The sequence below is a fragment of the Homo sapiens genome, chromosome 19 (genome assembly GCF_000001405.40).
Source record: "Homo sapiens chromosome 19, GRCh38.p14 Primary Assembly".
Lineage (NCBI taxonomy): Eukaryota > Metazoa > Chordata > Mammalia > Primates > Hominidae > Homo > Homo sapiens.
This window is the reverse complement of record NC_000019.10, coordinates 2016065-2037392: the sequence shown is the minus strand read 5'-3', so window position 1 is coordinate 2037392 and position 21328 is coordinate 2016065. Positions and strand designations below refer to the sequence as shown.

Sequence of the window (21328 nt, the reverse complement as noted above, 5' to 3'; positions counted from 1 at the left end):
GGTGATGCTGAGTCAGGAGTTTTGAGGGGGTGCGCTCCTGTGGGGTCTGTCTCTGCTCCAGGATGCCTGGATGCACTGCTGGGAAGACAGGCAAAAAGCTGAGCTCGGCTGGGAGCAGTGGCTCACGCCTGTAATTACCCAGCACTTTGGGAGGCCAAGGCAGGTGGATCACTCGAGGTCTGGCCAACATGATGAAATCCCGCCTCTACCAAAAATACAAAAATTAGCCCGGTGTGGTGCAACATGCCTGTAATCCCAGCTACTCTGGAGGCTGAGACACAAGAATTGCTTGAACCCAGAAGGCGGAGGCTGCAGTGAGCCGAGATGATGCCACTGCACTCCAGTCTGGGCGATGAGCAAGACTGTCTCAAAAAAAAACAAAACAGGCCTGGCGCGGTGGCTCACGCCTGTAATCCCAGCACTTTGGGAGGCCGAGGTAGGGAGATTGCTTGAGGCCAGGAGTTCGAGACTGGCCTGTGCAACTTGGGGAAACCCTGTCTCTACTAAAAAACTACAAAAATTAGCCGGGCGAGGTGGCGGGTGCCTATAGTCCCAGGTACTTGGGAGGCTGAGGCAGGAGAATTGCTTGAACCTGGGAGGTGGAGGTTGCAGTGAGCCGAGACGATGCCACTGCACTCCAGCCTGGGTGACAGAGCAAGACTCCATCTCAAAAAAAAAAAAAAAACCCAGGCGTGGTGGTGCACACCCATAGTCCCAGCTGCATGGGAGGCCGAAGCGGTTGGACAACTTGAGCCCAAGGAGGTAGAGGCTGCAGTGAGCCGTGAGCATGCCACTGACTCTAGGCTGGGTGATAGAGTGAGACCCTGTCCTTTTTTTTTTTTTTGAGACAGAATCTCATTCACAGCCCAGGCTGGATGGAGAGCAGTGGTGCCATGTCTCGGCTCACTGCAACCTCTGCCTCCTGAGTTCAGGGATACTCCTGCCTCAGCCTCCCGAGTAGTTTGGGATTATAGGCGTGCGTCACCACGGCCCAGCTAATTTTTTGTATTTTTTTTTTTTCCTTTTTGAGACAGTTTCGATCTTGTTGCCCAGGCTGGAGTGCAATGGCGTGATCTCAGCTCACCGCAACCTCCGCCTCCCAGGTTCAAGCGATTCTCCCGCCTCAGCCTCCCGAGTAGCTGGGATCACAGACATGTGCCACCACGTCCAGCTAATTTTGTATTTTTAGTAGACTCGGGGTTTCTCCACGTTGGTCAGGCTGGTCTTGAACTCCCGGCCTCAGGTAATCTGCCCACCTCGGCCCCTCAAAGTGCTGAGATTACAGGCGTGAGCCACCGCACCAAGTCAATTTTTTGTATTTTTAGTAGAGACAGGGTTTTGTTATGTTGGCCAGGCTGTTCTCGAACTCCTGGCCTCAAGTAATCCAGCTGCCTTGGCCTCCCAGCGTGCTGGGATTACAGGCGTGAGCCACCACACCCAGTCAGGGCTCAGCTGCGAGCTCTTCACCAGGGCCAGCGCCTGCAGGGAGCCTCCCCGTGTGGCTTGGGCTTCCTCACAACATGGCAGCTGTGTTCCCAAGCTCGGGCTCCAGTAAGCAGGGTTCCAAGCAAACAAAGCAGAAGCTGCCAGGCTGACCTGCTGAGAAGCCAGGCAGCGCCACCCCCGCCACCTTCTCTGGTTTCACAGAAGACGCGAGGCCCGCCCAGGTTCAAGGGAAGGGGAAGGGTCTCCTCCTGGGAGAGGGTGAGAGACGTTGTTGCCGCTGCCTTGGGACTGTGCAACCTAACAAGTCCTAGTAATTGTAACCTTCTGCACATGGCCGGCCCCTGCCTGCTTTAGGGTTCACCCCCCTCAGCCATTATTAAGTTTTTGTTGCAGGCAGGACGCTGTGCTGGGGCTGGTGGCAGAGAAGATGAGCTGGACGGCCAAGGGCTGACCTCAGATCCTGGAGTTGGGTGTAGACCAGGAAGGGCTTCCTGGAGGCGGGAGCGGAAGGAGGACAGCGAAGCCTAGTGGTTAAGGAGGCCAGCCTGGGCTGAAATCCCAGCTGTATCCAGGCTACTGTGTGCCTCAGTTTCCGGATTCATCAAGCGGGAGCCAAGGGCAGCCAGGTGAGCTACAGGCTGGTAGCGCAGTGCAGGGACAAAACCCAGCAAGAAAGAAACCGATGACGTCGCCTGAGGGGGCGGGACTTGAGGCCTGGAGGGGGCGAGGCTTGGCGTCTGGGGGTGGGGCTTATTATATGGGGCGGAGCCTTGGACTTGGTGGGCGGAGCTTGGAATCTGAAGGGTTAGGGCCTCGTCTGGGGCGAAGTTTGGGGCCTGGAGGGGCGAGGCTTGGGGGAGGTTCCCAGACGGGGCGGGGCTTGTGTATTGGGTGAGGTTTGAGGCCTGGAAGGCAGAGACTTATGGCCTGGGGGGCGGAGCTTTTGCCTGGAGGGAGCGGGGCTTATGAACTGGAGGTGGGGGTGAGGCTTGTGTCTGGGGCCAGGTTTGGGCCTGGAAAGGCGGGGCTTGCGGTCTGGAGGGGCGGGGTTTGGGCCTGGAGGGGGCTGGAGGCAAGAGAGATGGCGCTCGGGACGGAAGGGTTCCCTGCCCTGCCCCAGGAGCCTGCATGGGAGAAGGCGTGAGGAGGTGAAGGAAGCTTATGGTACCTGCACACCGACAGGCTGGAGCGCGAGAGTAAGCACCGTGTGGGGACACACCCGACCACGGCCGGGGAGGGGGCGGCACCCCAAAGGCAACAGGGAACCCAGGCAGCATTTTATTTTTTCAGATAACAGCTTTACTGTGATAAAACTCAGCACCTGGCCGGGTGCGGTGGCTCACTCACGTAATCCCAGCCCTTTGCGAGGCCGAGGCGGGAGGATCACCTGAGGTCAGGAGTTTGAGACCAGCCTGGCCAACATGGTGAAACCCCATCTCCACTAAAAATACAAAATTAGCCGGGCGTGGTGGCAGTTGCCTGTAATCCCAGCTGCTAGGGAGGCTGAGGCAGGAGGATCGCTTGAGCCCAGGAGGCTGAGGTTGCAGTGAGCCGAGATTGCACCACCGTACTCCAGCCTGGGCAACACAGCGAGACTCTTTCTAAAAAACAAAACAAAACAAAACAAAAAAACCTCAGCACCGCTGTTCACCCACTGCGTCTAAAATTCAATGGTTTTAGCACACGCAAAGTTGTGCAGCCTTCGCCTCTAATCCAATTCTGCAACATTCTCATCACCCGGAACAGCAAGCCCGCCCCACCGGCAGTCACTGCCTTTCCCCACCTCCCCAGCCCCCGGTGGTCACTAGTGCACTCTCTGTCTCTGGGGATTTGCCTGTTCTGGACTTTTCATGTGAATGGCCCCGGGGGTGGTGGATTCCAGCTGGGCCTAGAGGAGGAAGGGTCCGGGGAGACCCAGGTGGAGCAGAGACCACGGCCATGGCCAGGACGGGCCCAGCCCTGCAGGGCTAACTGCTGGGGGAGGTGAAGGGTGGGCCGGGCACCGGGGGTCTGTCACCCCCTGCAGGGCACTTCGTGGCTACCCCACAGTCCCGACTGAACCCCATGACCCATGAAGTCCTTCTAGCCCTGTTCTGCAGCTGCAGTGGGAGGGAGGGGCTCAGGGTCCTCCGTTAGCTTCCCCCACAGCCTCAAGGCACAGACTGGAAATCGAGGTTCCGAGCTGTCCCCTGGAAAAGGGGCTATGGGGCTGGCAAGATGACTGCCAACCTGGGCCTCAGTTTCCCCATCTGGAAAACAGAGGGCTGGGCCAGATGACCACAGGGTGGGGCCTGGCCAGGCCTCTACCCTGGACAGTGGCAGCCCCCAGAAACCCAGAGGGTCCCAGCTCCCAGGTTTTCTCTGGGTGCTGCGGCCAACCTGTCTGAGCCTCATCCGAGCTGGGGACGGCTCTCTCTCCTCAGCCCCATCCCTAGGGTCTCTCTTCTCTCTGGCTTTGGTCTTCCCTGTCTTCTCCTCCTTTCCCCCCATCACACCCTTTGAATCTCAACTCCCAAGTCTCCTCTCAAAATCACCCCCACTTTTGTCCTCCCCCTTACTGCTACCCCAGGCCAAGGCCCCAGACTCCTTGCTGACCTTCTAGCCCCCATTCCTGCCTCTGCCTCTTTTCTCCTAGTGACTTAAAACCAATCACAGCCCACCCCTACTCTAACACCTCCCATGGCTCCCCATTGCCCACAGCACAAAAACAAAGTGCTCTTGGCTGCCCTGGCACCTAGTTTAGGTTCTAATAATAATAATAATAATAATAATGATAATAATAATAATTATTATTATTTTATTTAGTCTGGGTACAGTGGCCCACACCTGTAATCTCAATACTTTGGAAGGCTGAGGTGGGAGGATTGCATGAGCCCAGGAGTTCAAGGCTCAGAGTACCCAGCCTGCAAGCCTCCCCCTCAAACTCTGCCCTCCTCTCAGTTTCTCCAGCCCCAGCTCCTTCTGGATGCCGGGCCTATGCACCTGCTCCCCCTTCCAGCGGGGCCTCCCCAACATCCTCTGCACCTGGTTTCTCCTCTGCACCCTTCAGCCCCCGGATCTGGGATCACTTCTGGAGGTGCTCCCTAGGAGCTCGGGCCGTGTTGCAGCCGCATGACCATCCGTGAATGTTCCTCGCCCTGGGTTACTCATCTGCCACCCTTGAAGGTGGGCTGAGCTCAGCTGTCTCCTCCTTTGTCCTAGTTTGTGAACTCGCACATAACAGATTGAATGAATGAATGAATGAAGGCACACAGACGGCCCCCACCCGGCCATCCTCAGGGCTCCCTGGCCTGTTGCCCTTGTCCCTTGCCCAGCCTGGCTTGTGTGTAGGAAGTGTGGGAGGTGCCATAGGCCAAGTCACTTCCCTCCCGGGTGGCACCGAGCCCCGCCCAGCCCTGCCAGGCCCCCCCGCTGACCGCTGCCTGCCCCCGGCCGCCTGCCAGGAACAGCTTGTCTTCTGAGCTGCTGCTCTCAATCCTGTTTTTGTGGTTTCCTCTCTGCCAGTCCCGCCCTCTTCCAGTCTCTTCTTGTAGAGTGGCAGGAAAATTCTGGAGCTGGAGGAACTGGGAGCCTTTCACAGGCGGTGACCGAGGCCACCCCCAGCCTCCAGAGCCCAGTCTGCCCCTCTGTGAAGGGAACCACCAGCTCTGGCGCACAGGTGCCCGGGCCGGGGTCTGCCCACGTGTCCCACCGGGTCAGGGGTGGGAGCAAACTGAATCCTTCATGGCAAAATCACCTCTACATTGCAGCAGTGATTCGGGGATCCTTTAAAAAGACAGCAGCACATGCTACTGCACCACACAGATTGTCAGAGAAACCAGGTGTGGGGTGTGGACTGTGCGGAAACCCTGTGACCTTCACAATTTCTTTGAAACCCCAAAGCTGTTCTTTAGAAACATACATTTTTGGCTGTGCGTGGTGGCTCATGCCTGTAATCCCAGCACTTTGGGAGGCCGAGGCGGGGAGATATCTGAGGTCAGGAGTTCGAGACCAGCTTGGCTAACATGGTGAAACCCTGTCTCTACTAAGAGTCAAAAAATTAGCCGGGCGTGGTGTCGGGCGCCTATAATCCCAGTTACTCAGGAGGCTGAGGCAGGAGAATCGCTTGAACCTGGGAGGCGGAGGTTGCAGTGAGCTGAGATTGTACCACTGCACTCCAGCCTAGACAACAAGAGCAAGACTCTGGCAAAAACAAAAAGAAAAAACAAAACAAAACAAAACATTTTTTTTTCCGTGCCAATAGTGCTCCTGCAAACATGGTGAATGTTCCGAAAACACAGGTGCTTTTTGAGACGACGTCTCCCTCTGTTGCCCAGGCTGGAGTGCAGTGGCACGATCTCAGCTCACTACGACCTCCACCTCCCGGATTCAAGCGATTCACCTGCTCAGCTTTCTGAGTGACTGGGATTACAGGCACAGGCCATCACGCCCAGCTAACTTTTTCTGTGTGTGTGTGTGTGTGTGTGTGTGTGCACGCGCGTGTGTGTGTTTAGCAGAGACGGGGTTTCTCCATGTTGGCCAGGCTGGTCTCGAACTCCCGACCTCAGGTGATCCGCCTGCCTCGGCCTCCCAAAGTGCTGAGATTACAGGCGTGAGCCACTGCGCCCGGCCCCAAGAGCCTTTTTTATTTTTTTTTTTTGAGATGGAGTCTCGCTTTGTCACCCAGGCTGGAGTGCAGTGGTGCAATCTTGGCTCACTGCAACCTCCGCCTGCCGGGTTCACGCCATTCTCCTGCCTCAGCCTCCCCAGTAGCTGGGACGACAGGTGCCCGCCACCACACCCGGCTAATTGTTTGTATTTTTAGTAGAGATGGGGTTTCACCGTGTTAGCCAGGCTGGGCTCAAACTCCCAACCTCAGGTGATCCGGCCTCCCAAAGTGCTGGGATTACAGGCGTGAGCCACCGTGCCCGGCCCCAAAAGCCTTTCTGTAAGAAGTGTGGCCAGCGCCAATCCTACAAAGTGAGGCAGCGCTAGAGGAGCGAGGACTCTCTCTGAACCCAGGGAAAGTGGCCTTACAGGAAGCAGAGTGGCTGTGGTAGGCGGATTAAGTCGATTTTCCAGAAAAAGCTAAAACCACGAAGAAAATTGTGCTGAGGTGGCCGGGCGCGGTGGCTCACGCCTGTAATCTCAGCACTTTGGGAGGCCGAGGCGGGTGGATCACAAGGTCAGGAGATCGAGACCATCCTGGCTAACACGGTAAAACCCCGTCTCTACTAAAAATACAAAAAATTAGCTGGGCATGGTGGTGGGCACCTGTAGTCCCAGCTACTCGGGAGGCTGAGGCAGGAGAATGGCATAAACCCGGGAGGAGGAGCTTGCAGTGAGCCGAGATCGCACCACTGCACTCCAGCCTGGGAGACAGCAAGACTCCGTCTCCAAAAAAAAAAAGAAAATTGTGCCGAGGTGCAACTGCCTTGAGCCCCACTGTGGCGAGGAGCAAGCCTGAGCTGGGAGGAGATAAACCAAGAGACCAAGAAATAGTCAACAGACCCGTTCACAGTGCCATCGTTTTTATTTTTTTATTTTTTGAGACGGAGTCTCGCTCTGTCGCCCGGGCTGGAGTTCAGTGGCGAGATCTCGGCTCACTGCAACCTCTGCCTCCTGGGTTCAAGCGATTCTCATGCCTCAGCCCCCTGGGTAGCTGAGATTATAGGCATGCGCCACCACACTCAGCTAATTTTTGTATTTTTAGTGGAAACAGGGTTTTGCCATGGTGCCCAGGCTGGTCTTGAACTCCTGACCTCAAGTGCTCTACCCACTTTGGCCTCCCAAAGTGTTGGGATTACAGGCGTGAGCCACCGCACTTGGTCTTTTTTTTTTTTTTTTTTTTGGTGACAGAGTCTCGCTCTGTCACCAGGCTGGAGTTCAGTAGTGCAATCTTGGCGCACTGCAACCTCCGCCTCCCAGGTTCAAGCGATTCTCCTGCCTCAGCCTCCCAAGTAGCTGGGATTACAGGTGCCCGCCACCATGCCTGGCTAATTTTTGTATTTTTAATAGAGACAGGATTTCACCATGGTGGCCAGGCTGATCTCAAACTCCTGACCTCAGGTTATCCACCCGCCTCAGCCTCCCAAAGTTCTGGGATTGCAGGTGTGAGCCACCATGCCCGGATGGATAATAATAATAACAATTTTATTTAGGCTGGATGCAATGGCTCACGCCTGTAATCCCAGCACTTTGGGAGGCTGAGGTGGGAGGATTGCTTGAGCCCAGGAGTTCAAGAGCACACTGGACAATATAGTGAGACCCGTATCTCTACAAAAAATACAAAAATTAGCCAGGTGTGGTGGCACATACCTGTAGTTCCAGCTACTCGGGAGGCTGAGGCAGGAGGATCCCTTGAGCCCAGGAATTTGAGGCTGCAGTGAGCTATGATCATATCACCGCCCTCCAGCCTGTAACAAACTAAGTAACAAACTTAGTAACAAACTAAGTAACAAACTTAGTAACAAACTAAGACCCTGTCTCAATTAATAATAGTAATAATGGCCGGGCACGGTGGCTCATGCCTGTAATTCCAACACTGAGAGGCTGAGACCAGTGGATCGCTTGAGGCCAGGAGTTTGACACCAGCCTGGGCAACACAGTGAGACCCCCGTCTCTATTGTAAAAAACAATAAAATAATAATAATGGGCCGGGCGCAGTGGCTCACGCCTGTAATCCCAGCACTTTGGGAGGCCGAGGCTGGCAGATCACGAGGTCAGGAGATCGAGACCATCCTGGCTAACACAGTGAAACCCCGTCTCTACTAAAAAAATACAAAAAATTAGCCGGGCGTGGTGGCGGGAACCTGTAGTCCCAGCTACTCAGGAGGCTGAGGCAGGAGAATGGCATGAACCTGGGAGGTGGAGCTTGCAGTGAGCAGAGACCGCACCACTGCACTCCAGCCTGGGCGACAGAGCGAGATTCCCTCTCAAAACAGAAACAAAATGTGTTGAGGACTAATTTATTGCCCCAGGACTGGGAGAAGGCCAGCAGGATGTCTCTCCTCCCTCTGCAGCATAAAAGGACTCACACAAATTTTACTTCCTGCCATTGTCACTAACCACAGGGATCCCTCCTGCTGGATCAGCCCCTTTCATTCTGGCCTTTAATTGTCCCCTTGCCAAAGGCAACCCTGTGGCCTGTCCTGGTCTCTGACTCACCCTGAAGAATGAGAAACCTGTTTAAAGTGAAGTGTGATGGAATCAAGTCAGACGTGAGGAAGGACCTACCTCCTTGGTCAAAGCTGGGATGGGGTAAGCGTTGGGGAGAGAGGAAGGGAGGGTGGGAGGGCCAGCTCCCTGTGTCGGGGAAGCCTGGGTGAGCTGGGGGTCCCGCTGATACGAGTGTTCCCACCTGGGGTTTGGGTGGCCGGATAGAACTGGCACCCCTGGGTTGGAACCTCACTGACTCCCCGGTGGTGCCTGCCCTGTTCATTCCATTTCTGGCTGTCTTCATTCCTTCTATCAAGCTAACATTTCACTCCCTGCCATGCAGGGCTTGGGGTCTGTGGGCAGCCTCGGGAAGATGCCCTGGGGTACATTCATCCCGCCACCCCCAGGGAGACTCAGTTTCCCCGCGTGAAGTGTGAGGGCAACAGCTCCAGCGCTCCCCTGCCTCAGTTTCCCTTTTTTTGAGATGAGGTCTCATTCTGTCACCCAGGCTGGAGTGCAGTGGTGCTGTCATGGCTCACTGCAGCCTTGACCTCCCATGCTCAAATCATCCTCCCACCTCAGTCTCCTGAGTAGCTGTGACCTCAGGTGTGCGCCACCAGGCCCAGCTAATTTTTGTAATTTTTTTTTTTAGAGGTGGGGTCTCATTATGTTGCCCAGGCTGGTCTGGAGCCCCTGGGCTCAAGTGATCCTCCTGCCTTGGCCTCCCAAAGTGCTGGGATTACAGGTGTGAACCACCATGCCCTGCCTCGGTTTCCCTTTTGTGAGCACCTTTTGTGAAATGGCAGAAGATACAGACATCAACAAAGAGGGCTTGTCGGCCGGGCGCGGTGGCTCACGCCTGTAATCCCAGCACTTTGGGAGGCCGAGGTGGGTGGATTACGAGGTCAGGAGTTCAAGATCAGCCTGGCAAAGATGGTGAAACCCCATCTCTACTAAAAATATAAAAAATTAGCCAGGTGTGGTGGTGCCTGCCTGTGGTCCCAGCTACATAGGAGGCTGAGGGAGGAGGATTGAGCCCAGGAGTTTGAGGCTGCAGTGAGCTGTGATCACGCCCCTGCACTTTGGATCATGTTTCAAAAAATATATATATTTTGTAATTGAATTTTTTGCTGTAATGATTGGAAACACATGCAGTTATAAGAAATAGCACTTTGCCTAGTTTCCCCCAGTGGTAACATTTTGCAACAGTCTATTACAATGTCATAACCACGCTGTTGGCATTGATACAATTCATCCACTTTATTCAGACCTGGCCCGTTTCTTTCTTTCTTTCTCTCTCTCTCTCTCTCTCTGGCTCTCGCTCTCACTCTGGCGTCTCGCTCTGTCACCCAGGCTGTAGTGCAGTGGCGTGATCTCAGCTCACTGCAACCTCCACCTCCCGGATTCAAGCGATTTTCCTGCCTCAGTCTCCCAGGTAGCTGGGATTACAGGTGCCCACCACCACGCCTGGCTAATTTTTGTATTTTTAGTAGAGATGCGGGTTTCTCCATGTTGGCCAGGCTGATCTCGAACTCCTGACTTCAGGTGATCCACCTGCTTCGGCCTCCCAAGGTGCTGGGATGAGAGGTGTGAGCCACCACACCCAGCCAGACCTGGCCAGTTTCACTTGTGGCCCTGTGTGTGTGTCTGGTGTGTGTGTGTGTCTGGTGTGTGTGTGTGTCTGGTGTGTGTGCTTGAGCAGGGCACTGGTGGTATAATTTAATAACAGTCCCTTTATCCTTTGTTCTTGGAAATAAAAGTGCATCAAACTGAACCGTGCAATCCAGGAGGCTGAGTGGGCGGCGATCTCTGGCCGTGCCTCCTAACCTGGACTCCGGACTCCGGACTCCGGACCTTCCATGTGAGCCCGGGCTTCTCTCCACCTGGGCCTCACCATGGCCATCTGTAAAATGGGGTGTGTGGGGGGGCTCACTGTACCAGGATAGGGGCTCCTCCTGTCTTCTTTTTTTTTTTTTTTCTTAGATGGAGTCATGCTCTGTTGCCCAGGCTGGAGTGCAGTGGCGCCGTCTTGGCTCACTGCAAACTCTGCCTCCCAGGTTCCAGCGATTCTCCTGCCTCAGCCTCCCCAGTAGCTGGGATTATAGGCATGTGCCACTACACCCTGCTAATTTTTTTGTATTTTTAGTAGAGACGGGGTTTCACCATGTTGGTAAGGCTGGTCTCGAACTCCTGACCTGAGGTGATCCGCCTGCCCTGGCTTCCCAAAGTGCTGGGATTACAGGTGTGAGCCACCGCGCCCAACCTCCTTCACTCTCTTTATCTTTTCCTCTCTCCCTTCCTCCTGCCCTCCTATCATAAAGGAAGTGACATATATTTGGTATACTGTGTATCAGGAACCGTTTTAGTTTCCAGAATGAAAATATAGGCACCAGGTGCAGTGGCTCACGCCTGTAATCCCAGCTCTTTGGGAGGCCGCACTGGGAGGATCCCTTGAGGTCAAGAGTTCAAGACCAGTCTGGCCAACATGGTGAAACCCCCGTCTCTACTAAAAATACAAAAACAAACAAAAAAAATTAGCTGGGCCTTGTGGTGCACGCCTGTAATTCCAGCTACTCTGGAGGTTGAGGCAGGACAGTCACTTGAACCCGGGAGGCAGAGGTTGCAGGGAGCCGAGATCAAGCCACTGCACTCTAGCCTGAGTGACAGAGTGAGACTGTCTCAAAAAAAAAAAAAAAAAAAAAAGTTTTATGAGTCTAACATCAGAGATCCAGTAATCAATTTTTTTTTCTTTTTTTTTTTTTGAGACAAGGTCTGGCTCTGTCCCCCAGAGTAGAGTGCAGTGGCCTGCTCTTAGCTCACTGCAGCCTCAACCTCCCCAGCTCAACCAATCCTCCCACCTTAGCTTCTGAAGTAGCTGAAGCCACAGAGGCATGACACCACTTCCAGCTAATGTTTAAGATTATTTGTAGAGGCCGGGCGCGATGGCTCGCGCCTGTAATCCCAGCACTTTGGGAGGCCAAGGTGGGAGGATCACTTGAGCCCAGGAGTTTGAGGCCAGCCTGGGCAACATGGTGAAACCCCATCTCTACAAAAAATAAAAAAAAATTAGCCGTGCGTGGTGGTGTGCCCCTGTGGTGCCAGCTACTTGGGAGGCTGAGGCAAGAGGATTGCTTGAGCCCAGGAAGTCAAGGCTGCAGTGAGTGAGCCTTGTTTGTACCAGTGCTCTCCAGCCTGAGTGACAGAGCAAGACCCTGTCTCAGAAAAAAAAAAAAGGAAGAAGAAAGATAGAAAGAAAGAGAGTGGAAGGAAGGAAGGAGAGAGAGAGGAAGGAGGGAGGGAGGAAGGAAGGAATGAAAGAAAAAAGAAGGCCGGGCGCGGTGGCTCACGCCTGTAATCCCAGCACTTTGGGAGGCCGAGGCGGGCGGATCACGAGGTCAGGAAATCGAGACCATCCTGGCTTACAAGGCGAAACCCCATCTCTACTAAAAATACAAAAAATTAGCCAGGCGTCTTGGCGGGCGCCTATAGTCTCAGCTACTCGGGAGGCTGAGGCAGGAGAATGGCATGAACCCGGGAGGCAGAGCTTGCAGTGAGCCGAGATCGCGCCACTGCCCTCCAGCCTGGGCAATAGAGCAAGACTCTGTCTCAAAAAAAAAAAATTATTTGTAGAGACAGGGGCTTGCTATGTTCCCCAGGGTGGTCTGGAATCCCTGGGCTCAAGCGATCCCCCGACTCAACCTCCCAAAGCACTGGGATTACAGGCATGAGCCACTGTGCCTGACCCCAAATCAATTTTTTTTTTTGAGACAGTCTTGCTCTGTTGCCCAGGCTGGAGTGCAGTGGCGTGATCTTGGCTCATTGCAACCTCTGCCTCCCAAGTTCAAGCAATTCTCCTGTCTCAGCCTCCTGAGTAGCTGGGACTACAGGCACCCACCACCACGCCTGGCTAATTTTTTGTATTTTTTTAGTAGAGATGGGGTTTCACTGTGTTAGCCAGGATGGTCTCGATCTCCTGACCTCGTGATCCTCCTGCCTCAGCCTCCCAAACTGCTGGCATTACAGCCGTGAGCCACTGCACCTGGCCCCAAATCAATTCTTAAACAGTCTTAGAGTCCTAACAGCAGAAATCCTTTCTATAGGAACAACAGGATGCAAGTGCTCAGAATCCAGTGCTCCATGTCTTTTAGCACCAAAGAAGTGGGCCAGAGCGCAGCCTGTGTCATGCTTATTTCTACCTGTGTCTCTGTCCAGAACCTAGCATGCAATTTGTGTCAGCCGAACGGGGGTGGTTTCAAAAGCAACCATTTTATTTTGCTCAGGATTTTGTGGGTCAGGAGTTTGGGAAGGGCTCAGCTAGGTGGTTCATCCTGCCTAGGCAGTTTGTCTCCGATCCACGCAGCATTGGCTGAGGCCACTGGGAAGGAGTATTCACTCAAGGTGGCTTCTTTTTGTTTGTTTGTTTGTTGTGTTTTTTTTTTTTTTTTTTTTTTTTTTTTTGAGACAGTCTTGCTCTGTTGCCCAGGCTGGAGTGCAGTGGCATGATCTTGGCTCATTGCAACCTCTGCCTCCCAAGTTCAAATTATTCCCCTGCCTCAGCTTCCTGGGTAGATGGGAAGATTGGATTACAGGCACGTGCTACCATGCCTGGCTTTTTTTTTTTTTTTTTTTTTTTTTCAGACAGTCTTGCTCTGTCGCCCAGGCTGGAGTGCAGTGGCACAATCTTGGCTCACTGCAAGCTCTGCTTCCCGGGTTCATGCCATTCTCCTGCTTCAGCCTCCCAAGTAGCTGGGATTACAGGCACCTGCCACCACACCCAGCTAATTTTTTTGTATTTTTAGTAGAGACAGGTTTCACCGTGTTAGCCAGGATGGTCTCGATATCCTGACCTTGTGATCTGCCTGTCTCGGCCTCCCAAAGTGTTGGGATTACAGGTGTGAGCCACCAGGCCTGGCCTTTTTTTTTTTTTTGTATTTTTAGTAGAGATGAGGTTTTGCCATGGTCACCAGGCTGGTCTCCAACTCCTGACCTCAAGTGATCCACCCATCTCGGCCTCCCAACAAGGGGGCTTCTTCACACACGTCCAACCCCTCTGTGCTCTCTGGCTTCTCTCTGTTTTCATGGCTGGCATGTTCCACCCTTCATGGCTTTTCACACACAGTGAGGTGGTCACATCTCTCTTTTTTTTTGAGACGGAGTCTTGCTCTTGTCACCCAGCCTGCAGTGCAATGGCACAATCTCAGCTCACTGCAACCTCTGATTCCCGGGTTCAAGCAATTCTCCTGCCTCAGCCTCCCAAGCAGCTGGGATTACAGGTGCCCACCACCACGCCTGGCTAATTTTTGTTTTTGTTTTTTGAGAGAGTCTCGCTCTGTCACCCAGGCTGGAGTGCAGTGGCGCGATCTCGGCTCACTGCAAGCTCCGCCTCCCAGGTTCACGCCATTCTCCTGCCTAAGCCTCCCGAGTAGCTGGGACTACAGGTGCTTGCCACCACTCCCGGCTAATTTTGTATTTTTAGTAGAGATGGGGTTTCACCATGTTAGTCAGGATGGTCTCGATCTCCTGACCTCAGGTGATCCACCCACCTCAGCCTCCCAACATGCTGGGATTACAGGCATGAGCCACCGTGCTCAGCAGTCACATCTCTTGCATGGCATGTGGCTTCCATAAGCACAAGTGACCCCGGAGAAAGGAAGCAGGAACTTTGAGGCCAGGGACTGGCACAGTCACTTCCATCATCTTCTCTTGGTCAAAGCCAGCTCAGATTCAAGGAGCTGGAAGAATGAACTCAGCCTCCTCATGGGAGGGAAGAAACCAACAGCTGCCTTCTTGGAAGCAAGCTACCACCGGGTGTGTTCAGGCAGCATCATTTAGACTTCAAGTGGGAGACGCCCGCCTGGGATCTGGTTTATCTGCACACACCTCACTCTCCTGAAAGGACTTAACATGTGAGGCCGGGCACCGAGGCTCACGCCGGTAATCCCAACACTTTGGGAGGCCAAGGTGGGAGGATCACTTGAGCCCAGGAGTTTGAGGCCAGCCTGGGCAACATGGTGAAACTCCATCTCTACAAAAAATAAAAAAAATTAGCCGTGCGTGGTGGTGTGCACCTGTGGTCCCAGCTACTTGGGAGGTTGAGTCAAGAGGATTGCTTGAGCCCAGGAAGTCAAGGCTGCAGTGGGTGAGCCATGTTTGTACCAGTGCTCTCCAGCCTGAGTGACAGAGCAAGACCCTGTCTCAGGGAAAAAAAAAAAGGAAAAAGAAAGAAAGAGAGGGAGGAAGGAAGGACAGAGAGAGAAAGGAGGGAGGGATGGAGGGAGGAAGGAAGGAAGGAATGAAAGAAAAAAGACAAGAAGGAAAGAAAGAAAAGACAAAGAAAGAAGGAAGGAAGGAAAGAAAGAAAGAGAGAAAGAAAGAAAGAAAAAAGAGAAAGCAAGCAAGCCGGCCAGGTGTGGCGGCTCACACCTGTAATCCCAGCACTTTGGGAGACCAAGACAGGGGAAGAATCACTTGAGCCCAGGAGTTCAAGACCAGCCTGGGCAACATGACATAACCCTGTCTCTACTAAAAATACAAAAATTAGCTGGGTGTGGTGGTGCACACCTGTAATCCCAGCCACTCGGGAGGCTGAGGCAGGAGAATCACCTGAACCCGGGAGGCGGAGGTTGCAGTAAGCCAAGATCGCGCCACTGCACTCCAGCCTGGGTGACAGGGTGAGAGTCCATCTCAAAACAAAAGAAGGCAAATTTTACATTATGTGTATTTTATTTACCACTACAACAAAAAATGAAGTATAAAGCACGCACAGGTTGCTTTCCAGCTCTTTTGCTGGGTGGCTGTGGCTCTGCCCACATCTCCTCACTCCTGGCTCACAGCCACCATCTCCAATGGAGCACACAGGAGAGGTCTCTGGAGGGTCTTGCCCTGGCCATTAAATGCTACAGGCTAGAAGAGTCACACCTCTTCTGTTCATAACTCACTGGGCAGAACTGTTCAGGTGACACAGCCGTAAGGAACTAAGCACACAGCACTTCATTGCCAATGAGAGTGCCTGAAATCCACAAGGAAGAGCCTCACTGGTTGCCCCAGCCTGGGGCTGGGCCAGGTGGCCAGGACATGGCTGTCCCCAGGCGTCTGCCACCACTGGCTTTTCTCTGCAGCCAGAGAGAGGGGCTGGTGGGCAGGGCTTGCAGAGAAGGGGACTTGGGGCCAGCACTTGAAGGGCAAGGAGAGCCCAGTGAGACAGAGGGGTTGACATGCCCCCTTCTGTCCTGGTCACAATTCAATCCAAAGGTCTCTTCTTTATTTCCTCCTGAGGCTTGGCTTATCCCATCATCTTATCTTATCTTCTCTTATCTCATAAGACAGAATCTCCCTCTTTCGCCCAGGATGGGGTGCAGTGGTGTGATCTTGGCTCACTGCAGCCTCTGCCTCCCAGGTTCAAGCGATTCTCCTGGCTCAGCCTCTCGAGTAACTGGAATTACAGGTGTGTGCCACCACGCCCAGCTAATTTTTTTTTTTTTTTTTTTTTGGGACAGAGTCTCACTCTGTCACCGAGGCTGGAGTGCAGTGGCGCGATCTCGGCTCACGACAAGCTCCACCTCCCGGGTTCACGCCATTCTCCTGCCTCAGCCTCCCTAGTAGCCGGGACTACAGGCGCCCGCCACCATGCCCGGCTAATTTTTTTTTGTATTTTTAGTAGAGACGGGGTTTTAGTGCATTAACCAGGATGGTCTCGATCTGACCTCGTGATCCGCTTGCCTTGGCCTCCCAAAGTGCTGGGATTACAGGCATGAGCAACTGTGCCTGGCCTTAATTTTGTATTTTTAGTAGAGATGGGGTTTCACCATGTTGGCCAAGCTGGTTTCAAACTCCTGACCTCAGGTGATCCACCTGCTTCAGTCTCCCAAAATGCTGGGATTGCAGGCGTGAGCCACTGCGCCCGGCTCCTAAGGTGGCATATTTTGACATGGCATATTCTAATCTCCTTCAGTTGCTCCCTCTAAATTTTTTTGTGAACCCTTTAAATATTTTCTTCCACATCAGGCCTTTCTGGTGTGCATAATATTCCTGAGTGAGTCCCAGTGTTGGCTGGCGCAGTGGCTCACGCCTGTAATCCCAGAACTTTGGGAGGCCGAGGTGGCTGGATCACGAGGTCAGGAGTTCAAGATCAGCCTGGCCAAGATGGTGAAACCCCGTCTCTACTAAAAATACAAAAATTAGCCGGGTGTGGTGGTGGGCACCCGTAATCCCAGCTACTTGGGAGGCTGAAGCAGGAGAATCGCTTGAACCTGGGAGGCGGAGGTTGCAGTTTGCTAAGACCACACCACTGCACTTCAGCCTGGGCAACAGAGCGAGAGACTTTTTTTTTTTTTTGAGACAGAGTCTTGCTCTGTTGCCCAGGCTGGAGTGCAGTGGCATGATCTCAGCTCACTGCAAGCTCCGCCTCCTGAGTTCTTGATATTCTCCTGCCTCAGCCTCCCGAGTAGCTGGGACTACAGGCGCCCACCACCACGCCCGGCTAATATTTTGTATTTTTAGTAGAGACGGGGTTTCACCGTGTTAGCCAGGATGGTCTTGAACACCGTCTCCCGGGTTCAAGCGATTCTCCTGCTTCAGCCTCTCAAAGTGCTAGGATTACAGGTGTGAGCCACCACGCCTGGCCGCGAGAGACTCTTTAAAAAAAAAAAAATTAGTCATGGTGGTGCGCGCCTGTGGTCCCAGCTACTCAGGAGGCTGAGGCGGGAGGATCACTTGAGCCCAGGAGGTGGAGGCTGCAGTGAGCTGTGACCGCACCATTGCAGTCCAGCCCTGGAAGATAGAGCGAGACTTTGCAGAAAAAAGAAGGAAGGAAGGAAGGAAGGAAGGAAAAAAGAAAGAAAGAAAGGAACAAGAAAGAAAGCAAGCCAGCCAAAGAAAGAAAGCCAGCCAGCCTGAGTGTCCTGGAGTCAGAGAAGAGGAAAGGGGACCGTGGGAGGGAAGAAATGACATCCCACCCTCCTGGCCAAGGATGGTTCTATTATGTGAACTGCACACTTCTCTGGAAATGAATGGAAATCCAGCAATCAGCTTGGTGACGAGCGCCCTCTAGACGCCATCACCGCATAGACAGGGCTGGGATTGGTTCCAGAAACCCGGGGAAAACTCAAAAACGCTCAAAACGCACTGCCAGGGGCAGGTGTTGGCTCAATAGCCAGCAAAAAAAAAAAAAAAAAAAAAAAAAAAAAAAAAAGCACTGACAAAGGACAAAAAGGCTCCGCAAGCTTCCCTTGCCAGCCCTAGGGCTGAGGTGGACTCATGTTTCTGCCTTCATAGATAATCTCCATCCGTAATATGTTTAGGTCTAGTGAGAGGTATGGTTTACTTACAGCGAATGCACAAATCTTAAGCGTAGTTTGGTTAATTTAGGCAAATGCATGAACCTGTATCACTCACACCCCTCTCAAAATCACATGGGCCGGGTGCGGTGGCTCCCGCCTGTAATCCCAGTATTTTGGGAGGCCAAGATGGGCAGATCAGGAGGTCAGGAGATCGAGACCATCCTGGCTAACACGGTGAAACTCCGTCTCTACTAAAAATACAAAAAAATTAGCCGGGCGTGGTGGCAGGCGCCTGTAGTCCCAGCTACTTGGGAGGCTGAGGCAGAAGAATGGTGTTAACCCGGGAGGCAGAGCTTGCAGTGAGCCGAGATCGCGCCACTGCACTCCAGCTTGGGCGACAGAGCAAGACTCTGTCTCAAGAAAAAAAAAAAAAAAAAAAAAATCTCCACATGGCCGAGTGGTTCACACCTGTAATCCCAGCGTTTTGGGAGGCCTAGCGAGAAGATTGCTTGAGCCTAGGAGTTCATGAGCAGCCTGGGCGACAAAGTGAGATCCCGTGTGTGTGTGTGCCTGTGTGTGCGCGCACGCGTGCGTGTGTGTTAGGCAGGGCCTCACTTTGTCGCCCAGGCTGGAGTGCAGTGGCACAATCTCAGCCTCCCCAGCTGTAGCCATCCTCCCACTTCAGCCTCCCAAAAGCTGGGACTACCGGCACACACCAGAACACCTTGTTAATTTTGTATTTTTTTGTGGAGACAGGGTTTCACTATGTTGGCCAGGCTGGTCTCGAACTCCTGAACTCAAGTAATCTGCCTGCCTCGGCCTCCGAAAGTGCTGGGATTACAGGCGTGAGCTACCATGGCTGGCCTACAGCTCTTTAAAAAAAAAAAAGTCCAGGCGCGGTGGCTCACATCTGTAATCCCAGCACTTTAGGAGGCCGAGGTGGGCGGATCACGAGGTCAGGAGATAGAGACCATCCTGGCTAACACGATGAAACCCCGACTCTACTAAAAATACAAAAAAAAAAAAAAAATTAGCCGGGCATGGTGGCAGGCGCCTGTAGTCCCAGCTACTCGGGGGGCTGAGGCAGGAGAATGGCATGAACCTGGAAGGCAGAGCTTACAGTGAGCCGAGATTGCACCACTGCACTCTGGCCTGGGTGGCAGAACGAGACTCCATCTCAAAAAAAAAAAAAAAAAAAAAAAAAAAAAAAATCGTGAACATCTCAGCATTCCGTAAAGTTCACCCTTTCCTCAGACAACCTACCATTTTGTTAATTTCTGTCACCATGGCAGGTATGCCTGTTCTGCACCTTCATCTAGAAGGGACTGCACAGATGTCCTCTTTAGGATTTGGCTGGAAAGATGTCACTTTGCAAATGTATGAGATGAGAGATAAGAAAGTTGACATTTAGAGGCCGGCTGTGATGGCTCCCGCCTGTAATCCCAGCACTTGGGGAGGCCAAGGCAGGCGGATCACCTGAGGTCGGGAGTTCGAGACCAGCCTGACCAACATGGAGAAACCCCGTCTCTACTAAAAATACAAAATTAGCCGGGCGTGGTGGTGCATGTAATCCCAGCTACTCAGGAGGCTGAGGCAGGAGAATCGCTTGAATCCGGGAGGCGGAGGTTGTGGTGAGCTGAGATCGTGCCACTGCACTCCAGCCTGGGCGACAGAGCAAGACTGTCTCAAAAAAAAAAAAAAAAAAAAAAAAAAATATATATATATATATATATATGTATATACATACACACACACACATATAAAATTAGCCAGGCATGGTGGCAGGCGCCTGTAGTTCCAGCTACTCGGGAGGCTGAGGCAGGAGAATGGCGTGAATCTGGGAGGCGGAGCTTACAGTGAGCCAAGATCGCGCCACTGCACTCCAGCCTGGGCGACAGAACGAGACTGTCTCAAAAACAAAACAAACAAACAAAAAAAAATTAGCCTTAGCCAGGCGTGGTGGCGGGTACCTGTAACCCCAGCTACTCAGGAGGCTGAGGCGGGAGAATTGCTTGAACCAGGAGGCTGAGATTGCAGTGAGCCAAGATCGCCATCACTGCACCCCAGCCTGGGCAATAGAGGGAGACTCTAAAAAGAAAAAAGAAAAAAGAAAAAAAAATTGTAACTACCTCAACCACCCACTCTGGAGAACTGAAAATAGCATTATCACTTGGGTTTTTTTAATACCCTATTTTCTTTTTCTTCTTTGTTTTTTTTTTTTTTCGAGACAGGATCTTGCTCTGTTGCCCAGGCTGGAGGGCAGTGGTGGAGTCATAGCTCATCAAAAGCTCAACCTTCCAGGCTCAAGTGATGCTTCCGTCTCAGCCTTCTGAGTAGCTGGGACAACAGGTGCGTACCACCACGCCTAGTTTTTTTTTTGTTTTGTTTTGTTTGTTTGTTTGTTTGTTTGAGACGGAGTTTTGTTCTTGTTGTTCAGGCTGGAGTGCAATGGCGCGGTCTCGGCTCACTGCAACCTCCGCCTCCCAGGTTCAAGTGATTCTCCTGCCTCAGCCTCCCGAGTAGCTGGGATTACAGGCACCCGCCACCAAGCCTGGCTAATTTTCGTATTTTTAGTAGAGATGGGGTTTCACCATGATGGGGTTTCACCAGGATGGTCTCGATCTCCCGACCTGGTGATCCGCCCGCCTCGGCCTCCCAAAGTGCTGGGATTACAGACGTGAGCCACCGCGCCTGGCTAATTTTTGTATTTTTTGTAGAGACAGGGTTTTGCCATGTTGCCCAGGCTGGTCTCCAACTCTTGACCTTAGGTGATGCACCCCCCGCCTTGGCCTCCTGAAGTGCTGGGATTACAGGCGTGAGCCACTGCGCCCGACCTGGTTCCTCAATCTTTGTGGCATTTGTCTACCTTGACATTATGTATGTAGTAAGCGTTTTGGGGGAGTCCCAGCTCCGTCCACACTGACCACCCCCCACACCTGGCCTGGAGAGGGTGCTGGGCGTCTGCTGAGTGTCAGTGCACGTGGCCTGCATCCTGCTCGCTCATCCGCAGCTTCCCGGCCTCAGGCTATGTCTCTGTACAGCGGAGCCTGCGCCACGGAGCAGGCCCGCCACCTGGGTCCGGGGTCTGGGGTCTGGAGTTTGCGCTTGGTCTTTGGGTTGGGGGTTCCGGGTCTGAGGTATGGGATCTGGAATCCGGAGTCTGAAGTCTGGGGTTCAGAGTCTGGGATCTAGGATTCAAGGTCTGAGGCCTGGGATCCCGGACTGAGGTCTGTGCTCCAGGGTTTAGGATTCCCGGTCTGGAGTCTGGGGCCTGGTGCCTGGACCCCAAATTCTGGACCTCGGTCTGGAGTCTGGGCTTCAGGTCAGGATGCTTAGGGAGTGGAGCAAGAGGTCTTCCACCAGCTCCTCCCCTCTACAGGCCCCTCCTACTCTTCCCTCTCCTCCCCGTCCCCTCCCCTGCAACAGCCTCCCCCATTCACCTCCCTTCTCCCCTCCCTCCTCCCCTC

At 53.2% G+C, this 21328-nt stretch overlaps 1 long non-coding RNA gene across 1 annotated transcript, besides 2 other annotated features; it reads left to right on the top strand.

Annotated features, from left to right (window-relative positions):
* Positions 1255-1755: an enhancer, noted in NCBI's record as "H3K27ac hESC enhancer chr19:2035637-2036137 (GRCh37/hg19 assembly coordinates)". NCBI's record gives its function as "activates a minimal SCP1, AML or CMV promoter by ChIP-STARR-seq in naive H9 embryonic stem cells {active_cell/tissue: H9 hESC(naive)}" and the evidence as "EXISTENCE:reporter gene assay evidence [ECO:0000049][PMID:30033119]".
* On the top strand, positions 2512-21048 carry LOC107985278 (uncharacterized). Its single transcript, XR_001753845.2, has 4 exons — positions 2512-2642; positions 8559-8685; positions 20093-20210; positions 20299-21048. It is a non-coding gene; the product is annotated as an uncharacterized LOC107985278 (long non-coding RNA).
* Positions 8202-8836: an enhancer, noted in NCBI's record as "OCT4-NANOG-H3K4me1 hESC enhancer chr19:2028556-2029190 (GRCh37/hg19 assembly coordinates)". NCBI's record gives its function as "activates a minimal SCP1, AML or CMV promoter by ChIP-STARR-seq in naive H9 embryonic stem cells {active_cell/tissue: H9 hESC(naive)}" and the evidence as "EXISTENCE:reporter gene assay evidence [ECO:0000049][PMID:30033119]".
* Positions 21049-21328: the final 280 nt, after the last annotated feature.